At 47.7% G+C, this 17,074-nt stretch overlaps 1 protein-coding gene across 4 annotated transcripts in view, besides 8 other annotated features; it reads right to left on the bottom strand.

Annotated features, from left to right (window-relative positions):
• VPS37C (VPS37C subunit of ESCRT-I) overlaps positions 1-6,012 on the bottom strand; it is a 31,170-nt gene extending 25,158 nt beyond the window's left edge. For 2 of the 4 annotated variants that reach the window (NM_017966.5, XM_047427178.1), the window contains exon 1: positions 5,977-6,012. The gene's annotated coding sequence lies outside the window, so the exon portion shown is untranslated. Of the gene's footprint in view, positions 1-5,666; positions 5,857-5,976 lie in introns of those variants that run through there. The other 2 variants (XM_005274077.4, XM_047427179.1) reach the window with 2 other exon arrangements.
• Positions 5,475-6,068: an enhancer, noted in NCBI's record as "H3K27ac hESC enhancer chr11:60928361-60928954 (GRCh37/hg19 assembly coordinates)". NCBI's record gives its function as "activates a minimal SCP1, AML or CMV promoter by ChIP-STARR-seq in primed H9 embryonic stem cells {active_cell/tissue: H9 hESC(primed)}" and the evidence as "EXISTENCE:reporter gene assay evidence [ECO:0000049][PMID:30033119]".
• Positions 5,475-6,661: a biological region, named in NCBI's record as "H3K27ac hESC enhancers GRCh37_chr11:60928361-60928954 and GRCh37_chr11:60928955-60929547".
• Positions 5,652-6,411: a silencer, noted in NCBI's record as "silent region_3385". NCBI's record gives its function as "represses an Ori minimal core promoter by ATAC-STARR-seq in GM12878 lymphoblastoid cells {active_cell/tissue: GM12878}" and the evidence as "EXISTENCE:reporter gene assay evidence [ECO:0000049][PMID:35858748]".
• Positions 6,069-6,661: an enhancer, noted in NCBI's record as "H3K27ac hESC enhancer chr11:60928955-60929547 (GRCh37/hg19 assembly coordinates)". NCBI's record gives its function as "activates a minimal SCP1, AML or CMV promoter by ChIP-STARR-seq in naive and primed H9 embryonic stem cells {active_cell/tissue: H9 hESC(naive and primed)}" and the evidence as "EXISTENCE:reporter gene assay evidence [ECO:0000049][PMID:30033119]".
• Positions 6,402-6,451: an enhancer, noted in NCBI's record as "active region_4793". NCBI's record gives its function as "activates an Ori minimal core promoter by ATAC-STARR-seq in GM12878 lymphoblastoid cells {active_cell/tissue: GM12878}" and the evidence as "EXISTENCE:reporter gene assay evidence [ECO:0000049][PMID:35858748]".
• Positions 6,462-6,601: an enhancer, noted in NCBI's record as "active region_4794". NCBI's record gives its function as "activates an Ori minimal core promoter by ATAC-STARR-seq in GM12878 lymphoblastoid cells {active_cell/tissue: GM12878}" and the evidence as "EXISTENCE:reporter gene assay evidence [ECO:0000049][PMID:35858748]".
• Positions 10,221-10,898: an enhancer, noted in NCBI's record as "NANOG-H3K27ac hESC enhancer chr11:60933107-60933784 (GRCh37/hg19 assembly coordinates)". NCBI's record gives its function as "activates a minimal SCP1, AML or CMV promoter by ChIP-STARR-seq in primed H9 embryonic stem cells {active_cell/tissue: H9 hESC(primed)}" and the evidence as "EXISTENCE:reporter gene assay evidence [ECO:0000049][PMID:30033119]".
• Positions 11,751-11,900: a silencer, noted in NCBI's record as "silent region_3386". NCBI's record gives its function as "represses an Ori minimal core promoter by ATAC-STARR-seq in GM12878 lymphoblastoid cells {active_cell/tissue: GM12878}" and the evidence as "EXISTENCE:reporter gene assay evidence [ECO:0000049][PMID:35858748]".

Raw genomic sequence — 17,074 nt, forward strand, 5'->3', positions numbered from 1 at the left:
CTTGAGCCCAGAAGTTTGAGGCCACAGTGAGCTATGATCACGCCACTGCACTCTGGCCTGGATGACAGAGTGAGATTCTGCCTCTTAAAAAGCAAGAAGAAAAAAGGAAAGAAAAATAGCAGACTACTGATATGAAACAATGCAAGCAAAAGACACTGGAACATCTTTAAAGCACTGAAAAAAAAAATAGTTAATCCAGAATTCTATACAGGGAAAATGCCTTCCAAAAACAAAGCCAAAATAAAGACTTCTCTAGACACCCAAAAGCTGAAAGAATCCATCACTAACAGACCAGCACCACAAGAAATGTTAAAAGGATGTCCTCAAGTCAGAAGGAACATGAAACAAGATAGAAATGTGGATCTACATGAAGGAATAAAGAGCACCAAAAATGTTAAACGAACAAGTAAATATAAAAGAACTTTACATTTTCATCTCCTTAAAAAATAATTGACTATTTAAAGCAAAAATAACAATGTGTTGTGGGATTTATGGCACGTGTAGAAGTAAAACAGGTGACAACAATACAAAGTCCAGGAGGAAGGAAATGAAAGTAAACTATTGCAAGATTCTTACACTAAAGTGGTATAATATCGCTTGAAGATAGGCTGTAGCAAATTAAAGATGCATACTATATACCTTAAAGCAACCACTAAAAAGTGTTCGAATTAATGAACCAACAAAGGAAACAAAGTGGAATCATAAAAATTATTCGATCCCAAAGAAGTCATAAAAAAGGAAAAAGGGAACAAAGCACATGGGACAAATTGAAAACAAATAGCAAGAAGGTAGATTTAAACTCAACCATATCAATAACCACATTAAATCTAAATAGTCTTAACACCCCAATTAAAATGCAGCTTGTGAGATTGGATTAAAAAGCAACCCCCGGCCAGGTGCAGTTGTTCACGCCTGTAAACCCAGCACTTTGGGAGGGGTGGGTAGATAACTTAAGGTCAGGAGTTCAAGACCAGCCTAGCCAACATGGTGAAATCCCGTCTCTACTAAAAATACCAAAAAATTAGCTGGGCATGGTAGGCACACGCCTGTAATCCCAGCTCTCAGGAAGCTGAGGCATGAGAATCATTTGAACCCAGGAGGAGGCAGTTGCAGTGAGTCAAGATCACACCACTGTACTCCAGCCTGGGCAACAGAAGGAGACTCTGTCTCAAAAAAAAACAAAAACAAAAACACCACCCATCTATATGCTGCCTACAAGAAGCCCACTTTCAATATAAAGACACAAATTGTTTAGAAGTAAAAAACTTTTTAAGAGATATACCGTAATTTTTAAATCCTCTATTTTTAAAAACTGTTTTATACGTAACAAAATTTACCATTTTAATCATTTTTAAGTATACAGTTCTTTCACATTAAGTACATTTACTTTGTCATACAACCATCACCACCATTCCTCTCCAGAAGATTTTCATCACCCTAAACTGAAATTCTGCACCCATTAAGCACTAACTTCCCATTCTCCTTTTCTCCCGTCTTCTGGCAACCACCATTCCACTTTCTGTCTCTACGAATTGGACTACTCTAGGAACCTCATGTAAGAGGAATCCAACAATATTTGTTCTTTTGTGACTGGCAGGTTTCACTTAGGATAATGTCTTCAAGGTTCACCTGTATTACAGGATGTATCAAACGTTCTTTCCTTTTTAAGACTGAATAATATTCTATCTAATACATATAACACATTTTGTTTATCCATTCACCTGTCCATGGACGCTTGAATGGCTCCCAACTTTTTGGCTATTGTAAATAATGCTGCTACAAACATGGGTATACAAATACTTGTTCAAGTGTCTGCTTTCCCTTATTTTCGTATATACCCAGAAGTGGAATTGCTAGATGATATGGCAATTCTATGTTTAATTTTTTGAGGAACTGCCATACTATTTGCCACTGGCTATACCATTTTACATTCCCACCAGAAAAGCACAAGCGTTTCAATTTCTCTACATCCTTGTCAACACTTATTATTTACTGTTGTTGTTTTTTTTCAATAGCCATCCTAATGGGTGAAGTGGTAGCTCACTGTGGTATTGATTTGCATTCCATAATGACTAGTGATGTTGAGCATCTTTTCATGTGCTTATTGGTCATTTGTGTATCTTCTTTGAAGAAATATCTATTCAAGTCCTTCACCCACTTTTGAATCGGGTTGTTTTTTGTTGTTGGGTAGTAGAAGTTCTTTACATACTCTGGAAATCAATTCCTAACACTATTTTTTTAAAGCTGAATTAGCTATACTAATATCAGACAAAGTAGATTTCAGAGCAAAGACTATTTCCGGGGGCTAAAAGGGTCTTTTCATGATCAATGATACAGCTTGGATATTTGTCTCCTCCAAATCCGTTAAAATTTGATTTCCAATGTTGGAGGTAGGGCCTAGTGAGACATGTTTAGGTCACAGGACAGATCCCTCATGAATGGCTTGGTGCCCTCCCACAGTAATGAGCTCTTGCTCTCTTAGTTCACATGAGAGCTGGCTGCTTAAAAGGGCCTGGCATCTCTCTTGCTCCCTCTGTGGCTGTGTGACACACCTGTTCCCCTTTCACCTTCTGAGACGAGTAAAAGCTTCCTGAGTCCTCACCAGAAGCAGATGCTGGTACTATGCTTCTTGTACAGCCTGTAGAACCGTGAGCCAAATGAATCTCTTTTCTTTATAAATTATCCAGCTTCAGGTATTCCTTTATAGCAATGCAAAACAGACTAATGCAATACAATAAAGAAGGTCAATTCATACACGGAATATAATACTCATAAAGGTTTATGCAATTAACAGCAGAGCTTCAAAACATGTGAAACACAAATTGATAAAACTACAAGGGGAAATGGACGAATCCACAATTACAATCAGAAGTGTCAATGTCCCTCTCTCAATAACTGAAAGAACGGAAGACCAAAAATCAGTAAGGACACAGAAGACTTGAACATTACAAGCCAACCTGCCTGAATTGAAAGTTATAGAACACTTGACCCGGCAATAGCAGAAGATGCAATCTTCTCAAGTGCTCACAGAACATTTACCAAGACAGACCACAGAAGAAGTCTCAGCAAATTTAATAGAGAAGTATGTTCTCTATTTAAAAGAAAATAAATTAGAAATCAGTGTTTACCAGATAGGAGAATAAAGTAATCCTATAATGCTGACTTTATCCGTGACTAGTTGTAATCCTGCTTGAGGTGGGACCAGATAAATCAGCGGAACTAAAAATACTAACAGGTCTTCAAAGGTAGGGCCTACCTGCCTGAGCTATCTGTTTGAGGTTCACTGGGGAGACTCTCTCTCCTCTCCAGCCCATCCTAAGCCCCAGGGGTCCTACTTGTCAGCCCCAGCTAAATCAAGACAAACCTGTTTGATATTTGCTTAAGTCTTTCACATAAACCAGTAAAGGAAGATAAAGAGGTGAGATATGAATTGGAAGGAGCACCTACTAAGTAAACATGCCTTTACAGCTAGCAAAACCTCAGACAGTGCTGCCATTAGACACCTCTCTGTCATTCGGTAAGCACCTGGGAACAGACCAAAACCTTGTGGAAACGCCACATCCTTCAAGGACACTTCTAACAGAATTTCCACACAACAGAGATCCAGCTGGATTAAAAGAGCTAAATCCATTAAATCAGGTCTTGAGTGATCTAATTTTGTCAGCCTGGAAAACCCCTACTATTACTGGCCAAGAGTGTCCAGAAATGATTCATATGGCTAGTTAACCCAAAGGCTTTTTAAGGGCAAATTAACAAATTTCAAAGCAATAAACAAAAAGAAAACAAGAATCCTCAGGAATAATGTCACTTCCAAGCTACCAGTGGCCCAGCAAATCTACAAAGTTCTTAAAGGCAGTGTTTCCCAAACTTGCCTTACCGTAAGAATCACCCAGTGCATTTGTTAATAGATTTCTGGGCCCTCCTCCAGACAATAGCCCAAGAATCTCTAGAGGTGGAGCTCTGTATTTTTAACAAGCATCAGAAATTATTCTTAAGGTCCAGCACCTTTGGGAAACTAAACGGTCTGAGAGGCAGTATCACAGAGTTAAAAGCACATTAACTTCGAAATAAGACTGATGGGTTACAAATCTCACTTGTGGCCAGACGCAGTGGCTCACACCTGTAATCCTAGCACTTTGGGAGGCCAAAGCGGGTGGATCACCTGAGCTCAGGAGTTCGAGACCAGCCTGGCCAACATGGTGAAACCCCGTCTCTACTAAAAAATACAAAAATTGCTTGCAGTGAGCCGAGATCCCGCCACTGCACTCCAGCCTGGGCGACAGAGCGAGACTCCGTCTCAAAAAAAAATAAATAAATAAATAAATAAAAAATACAAAAATTAGCCGGGCGTGGTGGTGGGCACCTATAATCCCAGCTACTTGGGAGGCTGAGGCAGGAGAATCGCTTGAACCAGGGGGCGGAGGTTGCAGTGAGCTGAGATCACACCACTTCACTCCAGCCTGGGCGACAGATCAAGACTCCGTCTCAAAAAAAAAAAAAAAAAAAAAAAAAAATCCAAACTTGGCCACTTACTGGCTGTGTGACACTAGCCAGGTTATCTAACATCTCCGCAACTCACTTCATCTGTAAAACGGGATCATCACCTATTTGGACATGTTCGCAAAATTCGGTATGTTCAGAAAGCCCTAGAACAGTGCCCAGCATATGAAGCCAAGCAACAAATCACAGCTATTGCTACCTGCAAAACAGCGGCCAGAAACTGCTCAGAAAGTCTACAATGAAAATGTTCTACTTAATGGAAATTACAAAGGCACGGAACCACATTTCCAAGATAATCTAGGTAAAAGGCTTTTCTGGGCACTATGACCGCAAAGAACAAAGACTCAGTTTAGCGTCCAGTATTTTCATTGCAACAGTCCCCGATCCCACCCGGAACTACAGAGTTCAGGTGTCTGCAGGGTTGCAGCTTTGGACAACAAAGTAAGAGTCTTTCTTTCCCCAGTTCCTCGGTCACCACCACCTCCAGCTCTAAGGCCAAAAGTCACAGAACTGAGAGTCTGGTGGCAGCATCTTGGTGCATTAGTAGGAAATGGGACTCCTGGAGCCAATAAAGAGGGTGGAAAAGGCCTTAGGCAGCAAGAGAACTGAGGTACCGCTGGAGCGAAGGGAAATGAGTGGGAAGTTTCTGGAGCTGAAGACTGACATTCCCAGGGTAAGTGAGCCCAGACAAGGTGTAGCTGGGAAAGCACTGCCTCAGCTCAGCGACTAAAACCCCAGGTTGTAGAGTCCACTCTGCCAGTAACTCACAAAACACCTCCAGTTAACTCCTTCTCCCATCCGTAAAGTGGGAAATCGCCTCATCGGCTGAGGAGGAAATGAAGAGGAACCAGGCATATAATGGGTATGTATACATCAGTGCCCTTTGCGCCCAGAGGGTCCCGGGGTAAGAAATGTTCAGTGATGCTGGGAGGTCCAAGTCTGAGTCCTGAACAAAGCCAAAGCTGAAACTCCCATCTCTCAATGCCCTGGAGAAAGGGCACAAGCCAGTAAGTCACAGAGCAAAGTCCCTCCAACCTCCCCTCTGCCACTCGTCTCCCGCGTGCCCTCTGGCAAGTCGGACCCTACTCTTAGGCCTCAGCTTCCCCATCTATACAATGGGCTAATTGGCTCTAATGTCATCAGAATTGTGACCGCAAGATGCTCACATATGGGACGAGGGCCTGCAGAGACGCAGAAAGGAGGGTGGCGGTGAGTGGTGGGGCGGAACTGGAGGTGCGACCCGCCGGGGAGCCGGGGCGGCGCCTCGCGCTCTCCCTCCCTCCCTCCCACCGCGAGGGGCAGGGGCGCCGGCCCCCGGCGAGAGTCACGCGCCCCTCGTGCCCAATCACCGGCCTCTGCCAGGATGAGGCGGGCAGGCGGGGGCGCTCCGGGAGCCACGGCCGGCGCCGCCCCCACCGTCGTCCTCTGCCCCGCCCGCCTGCGGCAGAGCCGGGACCCTCCCCAGTCTCCGCTCACCTGCCAGGGCCGCCGTCGCCGCCGCCACCGCGGGTTAAACCGCAGCCGCGCCCACACTTCCGGGGTCCGCCAGGCCCGCCCCCTACCGGATGTGACCCCCTTGCAACGTCCGGCGCCCCAGTGGCGCGCGTGCTCGCCCCGCGACCCCGTTGGCCGCCCCGCCTCGCGCGCCTCTGAGTTACCACGACATCGTGCCACACACACACGCTCGCGGCCGCCCGGGCCACAACCACGGGAGCGCCCACGAGACCCCTCCAGCGCTCGCCGCACGCCTCGGCCCCGCCCCCGGTAAGAGGCCCCGCCCACTGGGCGGAGACCAGGCCGCTCTGGGCTAGTGCGCCGGCGCGGACGTCCGCCGCCTTCCGAGTGGCCAGCGAGGACTCGCTCTGTACACAGCTCGATCTTGGGAGGCTTCTCAGAGGGACCCAAAAGGAGGGGGAAGCAGATGGAAGCCCAGAACCTAGGAGGAGCCCCAGATGGGCTGAGCTCAGACTGAGGAGCCCCAAGGCCACCACACACTCATTTCCATTTACTAGTTAATCTCTTTCCCCCACCCATTCATTCTACAGAATTACCAGTATTCCCCATCTCCTCCCTTCCCCCCTGGAAACAGGAGAGTCCAGCATAATAAGGAAGCCCCCTCTGCTCTAACCCTTAAAAAAAGGAATCTGAAGTGACCTGATGTTAACTAATCAGGTGTTTTTTTTTTTTTTTCTATTCTGTTCCCTTTCCCACCTATGAAACCCACTGCTCTGCTATTTCCCAGGGGAATTTGAGACCAAATAAGTCTATTTACAATGGTAACTGATGTCAATGTCTAAAGTTTCCAACCTCTCAAAATCAAGAGGTTGACCAAAAGGGGAGAAGTGTCCAGTTTAGCCTAAAGTTGTCTCCTGGCGTATCTTAAGTTTGTCCTAAAGGTTTCTCCGTACATAGTGAACTGGATCCTACTCATACCAATCACAGAGTTTCAGCCAATCACAGGCAGCCACCTGTTCAAACCTTGTTCCAATAAGGCAAATGTCAATCTGTCATTGGTAGGGAACCAAACTGGATCCCTTTGCCCTCAGAAAGCCAAACACCGAAGTATCAGGTTTTTGTAGAGGGAAAGATTTGTTGCAAGTCAACTGGGAAGGAGACATGCTCAAATCTGTCTCCCCAAGCCAGGGGCTGTGACAGGTGTTATAGGCAGAGGGTAATGAGCAGTGATCTGATTGAATCTTGCAATAAGCAATGATCTGACTGGATCTTGCCATGGGATGATGCCATGGCTCAATCTGATTAGATCATGGCTTATACCATGTATCTACTTCTTAATTCTGTTCCGGTTCTTTGGTCTGAGCATTTAGGTTGCGCCTGTGGTTGCATGCTTGGTTCTTCTGGGCACGCTCAGGTTACATAACTTGCAACCTGGGATCATGGCAACTGAAAAAACAACTCACCACTTTATTACACAAAGTTGAACCAGATGGGGCTGGTTCTGCGCTTACATAACTGGTCCAACTGTTTCTGTACCTCGCTTCTGTTTTCTGGACATCTATTTCCTTTTTCTTTTCTTATTTTTAAATTTTAATGATTATTTTTTAATAGAAATGGAGATTCGCTATGTTGCCCAGGCTGGTCTGGAACTCCTGGACTCAAGCAATCCTCCAGCCTCGGCTTCCCAAAGTGTTGGAATTACAGGCATGAGCCACCACGCCCAACCTGCTTTCCGTTTTCTATCCCTAAATGTTATCCAACCACCTGGCAGCCTCAGAGTCACTCTGAACCTATTCTGGTTCTGGGGGCTGACTGATTCACAAATCATTATTTGCTCAATTAAACTCTGTCAAACTGAATTTGTCAAAACTCCTTCTTATAACAGAAGGGGTCCATGAAGAAGGTCAGCTGCTGACCCTTCTGAGACACTGGTGACTCCTTTGAGCGGGGGCATGTTGGTTTTGCAAACATTTCACTTGGTACAGAATGTCAGAGTGACTCCCATTGACAGCACCTGTTTGAAAGCTAGGTTGAAATTGTTTCTGAGGGTTAGGGAGGGCCAGGGCAGATGACCTTAATTTTTTGTCATAAGCCTTTTTGTGCTATGTGATTTTTTTTTTTTTTTGAGACGGAGTTTCTCTCTTGTTGCCCAGGCTGGAGTGCAATGGTGTGATCTCTGCTCACTGCAACCTCCGCCTCCTGGGTTCAGGTGATTGTCCTGCCTGAGCGTCCCAAGTAGCTGGGATTACAGGCGCCTACCACCACACCCGGCTAGTCTTTGTATTTTTAGTAGAGACAGGGTTTCACCATGTTGCCAGGCTGATCTCGAACTCCTGACCTCAGGTGATCCACCCACCTCGGCCTCCCAAAGTGCTGAGATTACAGGCGTGAGCCACCACGCCCAGCTGCTATGTGATTTTTAACTCTGCATGTGTTTCATTTCTGAAGGAAAATAATTAGGAAACACTATTGATGGATTAGCTTGAGTTTATATCCAGCAATCTCTTCACTGATTAGTACCATGTTGGAAGGTGGGACATGGACATGATGGCTGGAGCAAGTGTAGTCATCTTGAACCATGAGGCGACCATAGGAATAGAGGCCACACTAGTGGCACAACAAAATAGAAGGAACCTGAGCCCTGATTCCGTAAAGGACCATGACACCACTGGACGGCTGCCTCTGGGCTCTGTGTGAGAGGGAAATAAACCACCTCGTGTCACTGTTGTTTTGGATTTTCTGTCACTTGTGCCCTTTAAGTCTTAGACTCTACTTCTGGAAAGCCCCTATATCCTAAGACTGGGTAACTTCCCCCCTTGTATGTTATTCAAACACCCCACCCTTCAGCCCTTTCTTAGCATTCTCTACACTTTTCTGTAGTTGACCTTTCACTCCCCCTAGATAGTAACTTCTCTAAGGACAGGCAGAGACTCTATTTTATACATCATTTTATGCAGATGCTGGAAACTGCTAACGCTAAAAAAAAAAAAAAAAAAGAAGAAGAAGAACTTGTGAATGTGACAGACACGATGATTCTACCAAGGGTGTTGAGGGGAAATGACACACTGCTGCCTACGCTCTCTCTCCGTGTCCTAAGTCGTTGCCACATTATCTTCTGGGGCCACAGGGTGCTGGCCCTCCTGAATAACCAAAGATAGAGAATTAGGACGAAGGAGGGAGGAAGAGAAAATTGCAGGAAATTCAAGTCATGGGAGGGAAGTGGCATTGGGAAAAAGGGTGCTCTTTCTATTTGGTTCCTGCTATTTTCGACTTTGGGCCTTTTGCAACTTCCCTTGGCTCTAGCCCCTCCTCCAGTCCTGGTCTCTTATCACACATACACCTATGTTCCCACGTTCTATACCTCAATTACACCCAATTTCATTCATAAGTGGAGTGGCCCTGATTAATGCAAAATTTTTAAGAAGTTATAAACACAAACAACCCCAGTTACAGAAGGGGGTACCTTACTCTGTTTCTCACATTCACTTCATTCCTTTGTTCATTCCACATGCATTCACTGAATACCCACACTGCTAAGACCTGCGGATACACAGATGAACAGATACCCTCTCCAGCCTCAAGGATGTCACATTTTTGGTTGAGATTGGAGAGAAAACAAAGTATCTCTAGCCCAAGATAACTCAATCCTTCAAATGACCCTGATCAGGAACAAAAAATATGACACTACGTTGAAGTATATACATTGCATTGCCTCTCTACCCCCTTCTAAAAAGTGAGGGTTTCATTTTGCTTCTTTGCTTGCTTGTTTGCTCAGCTGCTCAGCCCTGGACCTTGTCATACTGGTTGAATGGACGGACAGGTAACGTAAACAAGTAAGGAAGACAAGACAAGGAAGTTAAGAGTTCGAGGTAATGAGACATTTGAGAAGCTGAGGTATTGCGAGAGATTTGGGAACTGGGTTGGAAGAGCAGTTTTGTTGTTGTTTTGGGGGTTTTTTGTTTGTTTTTGAGACAGAGTCTCGCTCTGTCACCCAGGCTGGAATACAGTGGCACGATCTCGGCTCACTGCTACCTCCGCCTCCCGGGTTCAAGCAGTTCTCCTGCCTCAGCCTCCCCAGTGCTGGGACTATAGGCGCGTACCACCACGCCTGGCTAATTTTTAATATTTTTAGTACAGATGGGATTTCACCGTGTTAGCCAGGATGGTCTCAATCTCCTGACCTCAAGATCTGCCCACCTCAGCCTCCCAAAATGCTAGGATTACAGGTGTGAGCCACTGTGCCCGGCCGGAAGAGCAGTTTTTAAAGGAAGTTTTGCTATGTGGCATGTAGAATCTCTAGTTTGGTCTTCAGATGATTGCCAGTGAAGAGTTACTTTATCTTTTTATCTCTAGAGTTGGGAGTCAGATCTCTCTGGCTGGTTTCTCACTTTTTTTTTTTTTTTTTTTATTGACCATTCTTGGGTGTTTCTCGCAGAGGGGGATTTGGCAGGGTCATAGGACAATAGTGGAGGGAAGGTCAGCAGATAAACAAGTGAACAAAGGTCTCTGGTTTTCCTAGGCAGAGGACCCTGCGGCCTTCCGCAGTGTTTGTGTCCCTGGGTACTTGAGATTAGGGAGTGGCAATGACTCTTAACGAGCATGCTGCCTTCAAGCATCTGTTTAACAAAGCACATCTTGCACCGCCCTTAATCCATTTAACCCTGAGTGGACACAGCACGTGTTTCAGAGAGCACAGGGTTGGGGGTAAGGTCATAGATGAACAGGATCCCAAGGCAGAAGAATTTTTCTTAGTACAGAACAAAATGAAAAGTCTCCCATGTCTACTTCTTTCTACACAGACACAGCAACCATCCGATTTCTCAATCTTTTCCCCACCTTTCCCCCTTTTCTATTCCACAAAACCGCCATTGTCATCATGGCCCGTTCTCAATGAGCTGTTGGGTACACCTCCCAGACGGGGTGGTGGCCGGGCAGAGGGGCTCCTCACTTCCCAGTAGGGGCGGCCGGGCAGAGGCACCCCTCACCTCCCGGACGGGGCGGCTGGCCGGGCGGGGGGCTGACCCCCCCACCTCCCTCCCAGACGGGGCGGCTGGCCTGGCGGGGGCTGACCCCCACTTCCCTCCCAGACAGGGTGGCTGCCGGGCGGAGGGGCTCCTCACTTCTCAGACTGGGCGGCTGCCGGGCGGAGGGTCTCCTCACTTCTCAGACGGGGCGGCCAGGCAGAGACGCTCCTCACCTCCCAGACGGGGTCGCGGCCGGGCAGAGGCGGTCCTCACATCCCAGACGGGGCGGTGGAGCAGAGGCGCTCCCCACATCTCAGACGATGGGTGGCCGGGCAGAGACGCTCCTCACTTCCTAGATGGGATGGCGGCCGGGAAGAGGCTCTCCTCACTTCCTAGATGGGATGGCGGCCGGTCAGAGACGCTCCTCACTTTCCAGACTGGGCAGCCAGGCAGAGGGGCTCCTCACATCCCAGACGATGGGCGGCCAGGCAGAGATGCTCCTCACTTCCCAGACGGGGTGGCGGCCGGGCAGAGGCTGCAATCTCGGCACTTTGGGAGGCCAAGGCAGGCGGCTGGGAGGTGGAGGTTGTAGCGAGCCGAGATCACGCCACTGCACTCCAGCCTGGGCACCATTGAGCACTGAGTGAACGAGACTCCGTCTGCAATCCCGGCACCTCGGGAGGCCGAGGCTGGCGGATCACTCGCGTTTAGGAGCTGGAGACCAGCCCGGCCAACACAGTGAAACCCCGTCTCCACCAAAAAAATACGAAAACCAGTCAGGCGTGGCGGCGCGCGCCTGCAATCGCAGGCACTCGGCAGGCTGAGGCAGGAGAATCAGGCAGGGAGGTTGCAGTGAGCCGAGATGGCAGCAGTACAGTCCAGCTTCGGCTCGGCATCAGAGGGAGACCATGGAAAGAGAGGGAGAGGGAGACCGTGGGGAGAGGGAGAGGGAGAGGGCGAGGAGGGAGAGGGAGAGGGCGAGGGAGAGGGAGAGGGAGAGGGCGAGGGCGAGGGCGAGGGAGAGCCTGGTTTCTCACTTCTGCTTCCTCCTTGTGGCTCCCACGCTGTGCCGAGCCATTCAGCCTGCACAATCCAGACAATGGATTTGCCTCTGAAGTAGGGGCTGGCAGCTGCCTACAAAATTATCCGTTCTCTGTTTTTCCTTAAAAACAGTACATTTCATTCAGGATAGCAATGTGTCCAGTCAGCTAAAAGACTGCATTTCCCAACCTCCTTTGCTGTTAGTTGTGACTAGGTGACTGTGATATAAGCAGGAGTGTTGAGGGGGATTTCCTGGAAGGCTGCTTTAAAGGAGCTGATTCAGCTGGGGTGTGAGTCTTTTTGCCTTCCCCCGCCTTCTAAGTACTTACTAGATTTCAGAAGTGCTGGCTGGAACTCCTGCAGCCATATTGGACTATGAGGTGACTTTGGAAATGGAAAGCGTTCAAACTGAACAGCCTATCTGCAGATTTATTTAAGGGAGAAAAAATAAGTTTTCTCTTTTTAAAGTTGTGGTTATTTCAGGTTTTCTATAATGTGCACCTAAACTTAAACCTGATACTACTACACACAGTTACTGTGTGTCTTAGTCTGCTCAGGCTGCCAAAAAAAAAAGCACAGACTATTACAGGCTCACGCCTGTAATTCCAGTACTTTGGGAGGCCGAGGCGAGTGGATTACCTGAGGTCAGGAGTTTGAGACCAGCCTGGCCGACATGATGAAACCCCCATCTGTACTAAAAATACAAAAAAGTACCCGGGCATGGTGGTGGGGGCCTATAATCCCAGCTGCTCCAGAGGCTGAGGCACGAGAATTGCTTGAACTCAGGAGGCGGAGGTTGCAGTGAGCCGAGATCGAGCCACTGCACTCCTGCCTGGGTGACAGAGCAAGACCGTGTCTCAAAAAAAAAAAAAAAAATGCACATATACATAATCATGCATAAATGCAAATTGTGATTATAAACATGGTTAAGCATAGTTTGGGGATGTTTTCTTTTCTTTTTTTTCTTTGGTTGTTTGGTTGGTTCCCCTGCTTATTGACAGCCTAGTGCATGTCCTCCTGTATAGTCTCATCCAACTCTGCGTATGTTGGCCAAAAGAGGCTTAGGGCAGGGGTGGGGAGAACCAAAGGTGAGTGAGGCATGAGCACATGGATGAAGGGTGTGGCCATTGTTGCTGTTCATAACCACAGCAGCAGAACCACACTTCCCCTCCCTCTTCCAAACCACTATCCCCCTCCCACCCTCATCCCCCCGCCACCCATCCCCATTGGTCAAATTTACTTTGACCAATGGAATGTGAGCAGAGGTGGTGACATGTGTCACTTCCAGGTAGAAGCCTTTAGGAACCAGAGTCCCATTTCTCACCCATCTCCTTCCCCTGCATCAGGACAGAGCATCCGTCAGCCTGAGTCCCTGCATGGCTGCGAGGAGTAGAGCTCCCTGCCAACCCAGGTCGGCTGTGAGTGAGAAATCAACCTTAGTTGTATTGATCCTCTGAGATTTGGAGGGTGGAAACCAGCTTATCTTCACTGAAGCAGGAGGGTATAACAGGAACTGCTCATCATCTACTTCCTCCAGTAATCAAACTCCAACTTTCACCCTAGTCTGTGGCCACCTAGCTAAAGACTACATTTCCCAGCCTCTCTTTCACCTAGAAGTGCCCCTGTTAACTTCATTACGGCCAGTGACATATGAGCAGAAGTAATCTTTGCAACTTCTGGATTATGCCTTTTAAGGAAAGGGGCATATCCCACTTCCCTTTCTCTATTTCCTGCTGGCTGGAATGCAGATGTAATGACAGGAGCTGAAGCAGCTATAATGGACCAAGAGATGAATATCATGTGTTGAGGATGGCAAGGCAACAAGAAGGAATTTGGGTTTCAATCACTGGAGAGCCACCTGGACTATTATCTATTATATGAAAGATAAATGAAATTTTTGTTTGTTTGTTTGTTTGTTTGTTGTTGAGATGGAGTCTCACTCTGTCGCCAGGCTGGAATGCAGTGGCTCAATCTCAGCTCACTGCAACCTCTACCTCCCAGGTTCAAGTGATTCTCCTGCCTCAGCCTCCTGAGTAGCTGGGACTACAGGCGCGCACCACCAGGCCCAGCTAATTTTTTTGTATTTTTCTTAGTAGAGACGGGGTTTCACCATGTTGGCCAGGAGGGTCTCGATCTCTTGACCTTGTGATCTGCCCGCCTCGGCCTCACAAAGTGCTGGGATTACAGATGTGAGTCACCGCACCCAGCCATTAAATTGTATTTTACTTAAACCTCTGTTATTTGGGCTTTGGTTACAGCAGTTGAACCTGCAGCCTAATTCCTGGATGTTAGCCTGGTTTTGACAATTAGAGTTATGGCAGGTAGAGACCATGGACTTATGAACAAGTCAAGTGAGATCCCTGCCCTCAGGAACATGTGGTCCAGCCGGGGGTTCAGAAAATCAGGCCGGGGCAAAGCCATATGGCAGGGAAAGCTTCCTGGTGCTCTAGGAACTCATAGCTGGGGTCTCAGTGGCTGCCTGAAGGAAACTGTCTCAGGTCAAGCTCCCCAGAAGTAACCAGTGAGATGAGGTTTCATGTACAAGTGATTTATTTCAAAGGTGGTTCAGGAAACCAGTGAGGGAGGGAGCAGGGAAGCAGGACTGGGAAGGGGATGAAGCCAAGCCAAAGTGTGATTTTATGCAAGTCCTGCCGAGGGAAGCTCCAGCCTGATCCCACAGGGGAGCCCTGGAATGTAAGTCATGCCTGAAAATTGCCCCAACCTAAGGCAAGCAAGCTGGGCTTTCACATTCCCACCTGTACCCCTCAGTCATTGGCTAAGGGCCACCCTACACCTGTGGGCCAATGTATTCTATTCTCCAAAGACAAGTCATAGGTGCCATGAGAAGCAAAAGCACCTCAAACCCCGTGAAAGTGCAAGCTCAGGTGATGTTGGGATGTTCCACACCTCTTCTACTCCTATCAACATCATATCAGGAATCCTAAAAAGGCTTTGAGGGAGAGAGCCTTTCTGGTTCCCAGTGGCCAAAACCCCCTCAATGGAACAGAAAAGACATAAAGAGATTCCCTTTTTTTAAGTTTTGTTTTTTGTTTTTAGAGATGGAATTTTGCTATGTTGCCCAGGCTGGTCTCAAACTCCTGGCATCAAGTGATCCTCCTGCCTCAGCCTCCCCAGTAGCTAGGATTACAGGTGTGTCCCACCGCACCTGTGATCTGTGGAGAAGCCAGCAGCTGGAGGAAGAATGCACTCACCCCAGTGGCACCCATGGCATTTAAATCCTGCCCCCCAACACAAGCTCTTTAAGAGCAAGATGCAGGGAGTGGCGTGATTGTTATAAAGCTTTCGGCCACGACCAGCCAGGCTCCGTCCCATTAGGTTGAGCCCCCAGGAACTCTGAGCTTTGGCGGCCACTGCAGCTCCCTACACTTGGATCCGTATTGGTCTCTGGGCAAGGACCTGCCCAGGAACGTTGCGAAGGTTCTCAAGTCTTTGGAAAGGACATGGTATCAGCTGATAAGGCCACAGGGAGTCAAACAAATCCCCCCAACCCCTAAGGCTAGCTGGACATCAGAATGAAAGGGCAGTCTCTCTTCTGGGAAGCATCCCAGAAGAGCCCTCGGACCAGCTGGAGGTCAGACAGCCTCTGCTTGATCCCCGTGCAGGCCTGGAGGCTCCCAAAGCAGCCTGTTCATTCCTTCCTCCTACTCCATAGAATCCTGTGAGATTTCCAGACCAGGACAAAGTCAGAAAAACTAGAGGGAAGCAGGGTGCAGTGGCTCATGCCATAATCCCAGCACTTTGGGAGGCCAAGGTGGGCGGATCACTTGAGGTCAGGAGTTCAAGACCAGCCTGGCCAACATGGCGAAACCCCGTCTCTACTAAAAATACAAAAGTTAGCTAGGCATGCCAGCAGGCACTTGTAGTCCCAGCTACTCAGGAGGCTGAGGCAGGGGAATTGCTTGAACCCGAGAGGCGGCGGTTGCAGTGAGCCAAGATTGTGCCACTGCACTCCAGCCTAGGCAACAGAGCAAGACTCCATCTCAAAAAAAAAAAAAAAAAAAAGGAAAAGAAAAGAAATAAAAGGAAAATTAGGGGGAATGGGGGCTGAGTTTAGACACCATGGTGATCACCCTCTTAGCCACAGCCTCGTCTGCCGCAGGGTGACATGGCAATGCCTTCGGTCACTGGGCAGGTCACAGAGATGCCACTCCAAGGGCCCAAGCCAGGGCAAGGACAATTCCTAGGGTATCCTGCCAGGTCCTCCCAAAGCCACATGCTCAGAAATGAGACCTACCTAGGATCATAAGTTCTGCCTCTTTCTGTGGCCCAGAATTGGGAGCATAACCAGCCTCAGCTGTGTAAGGAAGCCATCACCCCTCTTTCCCCCAGAGAGGGCTTCCTCCTTCTTTCATTTCTGGGGGGATTTTCTGTTTTCTTTTTTTAGATATGGAGTCACACTCTGTCTTCCAGGCTGGAGTGCAGTGGTGCGATCACAGCTCACTGCAGCCTCCAATTCCTGGGCCCAAGTAATCCTCCCACCTCAGCCTCCCAAGTAGCTGGCACTACAGGTGTGTGCCACCACACCCAGCTTTTTCCTCTTCATTTCTAACATGGCACTTACCCCTCTATTTACCTCCCCATTCTCATTTAACTTCATCTTCTAAACACCGGCTTGGGTGGGGGTTTTCTTCAGTACAGTCCTAGAATACCACAAAGCCATTAATTGTCACCTGTCACCCTCAAAGCACTGCCCTAGCCTGCAGTATTAAATATTCATTCATTCTTTCCTTCAGCCATGAGAACAGGAAGGAAATTAACATTTCAAAACATTACACGCCTCTTCACCCCTGCAAGGTGCTTGTACATAGTTCAAATAACAAGCTTAAGTTGATAACAGAAGTTGTTATCAAATAAAAGTTAAATCCGCCTCCCTATAATTCCCAGTCTTTGTCCCTATGCTACTCTGAACATTTGCTATCGAATAAGTCTAGTCCCTTGTTTTTGCAAAAAACTTTTAGATATTTGTGGTTGGCCCTCAAGCTCCACCGAAGTCTTGATTTTCCAGTCTAAGCAACCCCTCAAAATGTCTGTCTGGTCTCCATCTTCCCCACCTCCTCCCACCAACCCTTTCTCCCCAGTCTCTCTCTTTCCAA

This window comes from Homo sapiens, chromosome 11, assembly GCF_000001405.40.
Source record: "Homo sapiens chromosome 11, GRCh38.p14 Primary Assembly".
In the NCBI taxonomy this organism is placed as follows: Eukaryota; Metazoa; Chordata; class Mammalia; order Primates; family Hominidae; genus Homo; species Homo sapiens.